This window comes from Homo sapiens, chromosome 5, assembly GCF_000001405.40.
Source record: "Homo sapiens chromosome 5, GRCh38.p14 Primary Assembly".
In the NCBI taxonomy this organism is placed as follows: Eukaryota; Metazoa; Chordata; class Mammalia; order Primates; family Hominidae; genus Homo; species Homo sapiens.
The window spans coordinates 90150398-90156584 of record NC_000005.10 but is presented as its reverse complement, the minus strand read 5'-3'; the positions used below and the strand labels follow the sequence as shown (position 1 = coordinate 90156584).

Genomic DNA, 6187 nt, shown 5'->3' with positions numbered 1-6187 from the left:
ACTATATGCCGGGCACTATTCTCCATGCAGAGGGTATAGCAGTGAATAAAAGAGACAATAATCCTTCTTCTCAGAGAGACTAATTGGTTTTCCCCTCTCAGGGAAACAGATATTAAACAAAAGCCACTTCTAAGTCACACCCTGAGAAGTATTGTGAAGAAGAATAAAACAGGGCGAGGAGGATACAGAGTGGCTGAGACATTAAGGATGGAATGTTATTTTAAATAACATAACCAGGGAAGGTGGCATTTGAGCTGAGAAGAAGAGTGGGCAGACAAGCCATGTGGCATTCTGGGGGAAGTGCATTTCAGGTAGGTGCAGAGCTTATGTGAAATGCCCATGTAACTAGGGTGGAAGGACCAACTGGCAGAGTGGTAAAAGATGAGGTTAGGGAAGATGTGATGGTAGTGGGGGTGTGGGTGGGGGTAGCTCATGTGGGTCTTTTTGGCCACAAGGAGTCTGAATTTTATTGAGTGAAAGAGGAAGTCATTAGAATTTCTATTAGAGGAGTGAAATAATCTGACTTAAAAAAACAAATCACTCTGGTCTCTATGTAAATAATAGCCTGTTTTTTGGCAGCGGGGGGAAGGTGGAGTAGGCAAGAATGGAGTCAGGAGAACCAGTTAGGAGACTTTTGTACTATTCTAGGCACAAAATGTTTGTAGGTTGGAATAGAGTGCTAGCAGTAGCAGTAATTAGAAAAAATAAAGAGATTGTACCCATTTTACAGATGAGTAAATGGACGTTTAGAAATTTTAATCAATAAGTTTCCAAGTGGTGAACTGGTATTCAAATCTAGATATAATTTCACAGATCAACTTCAGCAATGTGGATTTTCACATATTTAAAATTAATAAATTCCAAATAGATGATATTTTATTGTACTTTTAGTGAATTGGGTTAAATTAAAAGTGGTTGGCCATGGTCCTGCTTTGTAGACATTTTCTCTGAACATAGTTCCTCTTCATGGTCTCCATGTAGAAAACATTTAAAATCCAGTAAATTGAATAAAATTTAAATTACATCATCATTGTTTATATCATTTCTATGGAAAAATGAAGGAATGACTGCAGACATAAAACCCATAAACTGCATACAAACATTCAGCATAATCATGATGAACAAGGTTTAACAGTTAATCTAAGAACTGCTGTCGTCAGTTTGGGGAATTGATAAGTGATCAATAATATATTAGAAACTTTTTTTTCCAGGTTCAATAACAAGAGTATTGACAGTCATTTTGGGAGGAATTTGGAAGCGAATCTAAGAGGTCCATACTTTCCATTGAAAAGTGGACATTAGTAGAACTATTCATTATGATACTTTAGGCATTCTGGAGCATCTCCTGTGATTAGCTCTTTCTTCCTTTGGGCAAGGGGTGGGACGGAGACTCTTTTCTTCTATTCTTGGTACAGTGCTTACAAAATGTTTATTGGAGAAGAAATTGATTCCTTTATCATCAAGTTCACGAACTCTTTATTTTATTCACCATGTTTACCTTCTTTGTGAGCTCTCTGAGTTACTTACATGGTGGTTTACTTGTGTCTCTAAAACCTCGCTGTTCCTTGATTTATAGGTTACATTGTACCTTTTCTCTTCCACATGATGGAGATCTTCAAAGTAAGCATCTTTCAAAGCAGTGACAAGCAAAATACAGCTGGAAGATCAGTAACTCCCTGTTAAGCAGCTTTGCTTGCTGTCATTGTTGACTGCCAGGGAGTGGTGATCCATGTCAGTCACTAAAATGACACCTTGGCAAGACTAAAGTCTGCTCCTGGAATTTTTGTGTATGGAAACAATTTTAAGGTAATGAGATTTTCATATATTTCTAGCACCTTTCACAGGGTCTGGAACATAGTAGGTACCCAGCAAATATTTATTAATGTTAATTATAAAATCATATTTTGAAAGCTGTACTAACACATGGTAGGTAGATTTGTTGCAGATTGGAGCAATGCAAGAATTTCTTGTCAATCCTAAAGTTTATTAATAGTAGAATAAATAACCCTCCAAGCAGGCAGAGTCATTTAGTGAGACCCAATGAATTGATATAAACTTATATTTTTAAGCCATCAAAGTAAGAAGAGATTAAGACTAACGTTTACTTATTAAGTTAATTTCCTAATCATTCTTATAAGAACTTAATGAGTGACAAACTGACACTGGATATAAATTTATGATTTCCCAAAATAACATTTGATTGGTTTGAGTGATGTCTTACATCAAGTAATCATAGTTAATTTTTGCTTCTGGAGAGATTTGACTTTACCAGTCTATCATGTCATCAGATGTATTTCAAGAATGATTTCTTTGTCTGTTGATACAGAGTTAAAGGATTCCTATGGATATTCTTGAATCTATAACTTGTATTTTTATTGGGGCAGATGGGACAAATTCTGAATAGTGGCAAAAGATTCCATCTTCATTTGAAATGTACTGCAAACATCAAAAGAATGATTTCACATTAAAAATATTTTTGTCATAAATCAAGGGCAAAGATAGGATTTTTTCCCACACACTTATAGTTGACAATAGTGCAAGAAGCAATAGGTCACTTATTTTAAGTTCAAATAAAAGCCAATAAATGCTGCACCTTTGAAAGATTATAGTTCTGTTACCAGTCACTGCCCTAACAGTCAAAGCTCCAACAACACCAACAACACAATCATGAATGTCACAATGATAATTGAAAATAGGGATAATCCTTACCAGTTAGAAATAACTTGGGTAACATATAGAAATGGAAAGGTTAGGCTGGGTGAAGAAAAGAATGTTCCCTCTATTCTAGCACTTGCTGCTAGAGATGACATGAAGAATCTGGCTGTCTCTTGACCCAGATTCCCATTTTTCCTCCTGGACCAGGCACAGTGCAGGCCTTTCTCAGGTCTCTACCCTTCTCTGGAGCAGTGGTGGATGCTTATTTTAAGAGCTACTGTGGTTCCCCACTTTGCCTTTGAGATCTGGTGGTTATGACATCACACTCGTTCTCAAACCCTGGCTGCGCACTGGAAGCACCCAGGAGCTTTTGTAAACTCCCCATATCCCAGCTCCATCTTCAAAGATTCTGAGTTTATTGGCCCTGAGTGTGACTCAGGTTTTGTCATTTTTGGAGAGTTCCCCAGATACTTTTAGGTGCAATTGGAATTGAGAACCACTGGCCTAATCAAGTTTAGAAGAAGGAAGAGAGCACAAACTTTGAGTTTTGCCTAAGTTCTCATCCTCGATTTTGTTTTCCCACAGGTTCCTTGGAGTCTCAGAAAAACCCAGTGAATCCAGTCTCAAGTGAACCCAGTGATGGTGATTCATGGTTCCTGATTCTTTTCTAAACTGCTTTCTCAATTCTCTTTGTTCATAATCTTTCCCAGGCAGGAAACTCAAAAGAGAGGTCAGAGAAGGACAAGAATCCTCATGCTATTTGGCATCTTATTGTAAGACGTGGTGGAATATGTTCAGCAAGTAAATTTGGCAGAATTGAAGAGTAAAGGATTGGCATATCAAAATGCATATACAAAAAAATTAATCAAAGCAAACAACTTCATTCATAGTGTTACAGTAAACAAGTTTTAGTATGGAATTTTAAAAGTCTTAGATTCAGGTTGTGGCTTCACTATTTCCAGGAGCATGACTAGTTTGATTTATGTACCCACTCTGAGCTTTAGTTTTCTTATCCGTAATATAGAAACAATATCTGCTGTACTTTTCTTTTTTTATTATTATACTTTAAGTACTAGGGTACATGTGCACAATGTGCAGGTTTGTTACATATGTATACATGTGCCATGTTGGTGTGCTGCACCCATTAACTCCTCATTTATATTAGGTATATCTCCTAATGCTATCCCTCCCCCCTCCCCCCACCCCACGGTAGGCCCCGGTGTGTGATGTTCCCCTTACTGTGTCCAAGTGTTCTCATTGTTCAGTTCCCACCTATGAGTGAGAACATGCAGTGTTTTGTTTTTTGTCCTTGCGATAGTTTGCTGTGAATGATGGTTTCCAGCTTCATCCATGTCCTACAAAGGACATGAACTCATCATTTTTTGTGGCTGCATAGTATTCCATGGTGTATAGGTGCCACATTTTCTTAATCCAGTCTATCATTGATGGACATTTGGGTTGGTTCCAAGTCTTTGCTATTGTGAATAGTGCCACAATGAACATATGTGTGCATGTGTCTTTATAGCAGCATGATTTATAATCCTTTGGGTATATACCCAGTAATGCGATGGCTGGTTCAAATGGTATTTCCAGTTCTAGATCCTTGAGGATTCACCACACTGTCTTCCACAATGGTTGAACTAGTTTACAGTCCCACCAACAGTGTAAAAGTGTTCCTATTTCTCCACATCCTCTCCAGCACCTGTTGTTTCCTGACTTTTTAATGATCACCATTCTAACTGGTGTGAGATGGTATTTCATTGTGCTTTTGATTTGCATTTCTCTGATGGCCAGTGATGATGAGCATTTTTTCCTGTGTCTGTTGGCTGCATAAATGTCTTCTTTTGAGAAGTATCTGTTCATATCCTTTGCCCACTTTTTGATGGGGTTGTTTGTTTTTTTCTTGTAAATTTGTTTGAGTTCTTTGTAGATTCTGGATATTAGCCCTTTGTCAGATGAGTAGATTGCAAAACGTTTCTCCCATTCTGTAGGTTGCCTGTTCACTCTGATGGTAGTTTCTTTTGCTGTGCAGAAGCTCTTTAGTTTAATTAGATCCCATTTGTCAATTGTGGCTTTTGTTGCCATTGCTTTTGGTGTTTTAGACATGAAGTCCTTGCCCATGCCTATGTCCTGAATGGTATTGCCTAGGTTTTCTTCTAGGGTTTTTATGGTTTTAGGTCTAACATTTAAGTCTTTAATCCATCTTGAATTACTTTTTGTATAAGGTGTAAAGAAGGTATCCAGTTTCAGCTTTCTACATATGGCTAGCCAGTTTTCCAAGCATCATTTATTAAATAGGGAATCCTTTCCCCATTTCTTGCTTTTGCCAGGTTTGTCAAAGACCAGATGGTTGTAGATGTGTGGTATTATTTCTGAGGGTTCTGTTCTGTTCCATTGGTCTATATCTCTGTTTTGGTACCAGTACCATGCTGTTTTGGTTACTGTGGTCTTGTAGTATAGTTTGAAGTCAGGTAGCATGATGCCTCCAGCTTTGTTCTTTTGGCTTAGGATTGACTTGGCAATGCGGGCTCTTTTTTGGTTCCATATGAACTTTAAAGTAGTTTTTTCCAATTCTGTGAAGAAAGTCATTGGTAGCTTGATGGGGATGGCATTGAATCTATAGATTACCTTGGGTAGTATGGCCATTTTCACGATATTGGTTCTTCCTATCCAGGAACATGGAGTGTTCTTCCATTTGTTTGTGTCCTCTTTTATTTCATTGAGCAGTGGTTTGTAGTTCTCCTTGAAGAGGTCCTTCACATCCCTTGTAAGTTGGATTCCTAGGTATTTTATTCTCTCTGAAGCAATTGTGAATGGGAATTCACTCATGATTTGGCTCTCTGTGTGTCTGTTATTGGTGTATAGGAATGCTTGTGATTTTTGCACTTTGATTTTGTATCCTGAGACTTTGCTGAAGTTGCTTATCAGCTAAAGGAGATTTTGGGCTGAGGTGATGAGGTTTTCTAAATATACAATCATGTCATCTGCAAACAGGGACAATTTGACTTCCTCTTTTCCTCATTGAATACCCTTCATTTCTTTCTCCTGTCTGATTGCCCTTTCAACACTATGTTGAATAGGAGTGGTGAGAGAGGGCATCCCTGTCTTGGGCCAGTTTTCAAAGGGAATGCCTCCAGTTTTTGCCCATTCAATATGATATTGGCTGTGGGTTTGTCATAAATAGCTCTTATTATTTTGAGATACGTCCCATCAATACCTAATTTATTGAGAGTTTTTAGCATGAAGCGCTGTTGAATTTTGTCAAAGGCCTTTTCTGCATCTATTGAGATAATCATGTGGTTTTTGTCTTTGGTTCTGTTTACATGCTGGATTACATTTACTGATTTGCTCATGTTGAACCAGCCTTGCATCCCAGGGATGAAGCCCACTTGATCATGGTGGATAAGCTTTTAATGTGCTGCTGTATTTGGTTTGCCAGTATTTTATTGAGGATTTTTGCGTCAATGTTCATCAGGGATATTGGTCTAAAATTCTCTTTTTTTGTTGTGTGTCTGCCAGGCTTTGGTATCAG

General features: G+C 38.0%; 1 annotated feature.

Moving 5' to 3' along the window:
• Window positions 1642-1842: a silencer, noted in NCBI's record as "peak5346 fragment used in MPRA reporter construct". NCBI's record gives its function as "represses an SCP1 promoter by STARR-seq MPRAs in K562 erythroleukemia cells {active_cell/tissue: K562}" and the evidence as "EXISTENCE:reporter gene assay evidence [ECO:0000049][PMID:32103011]".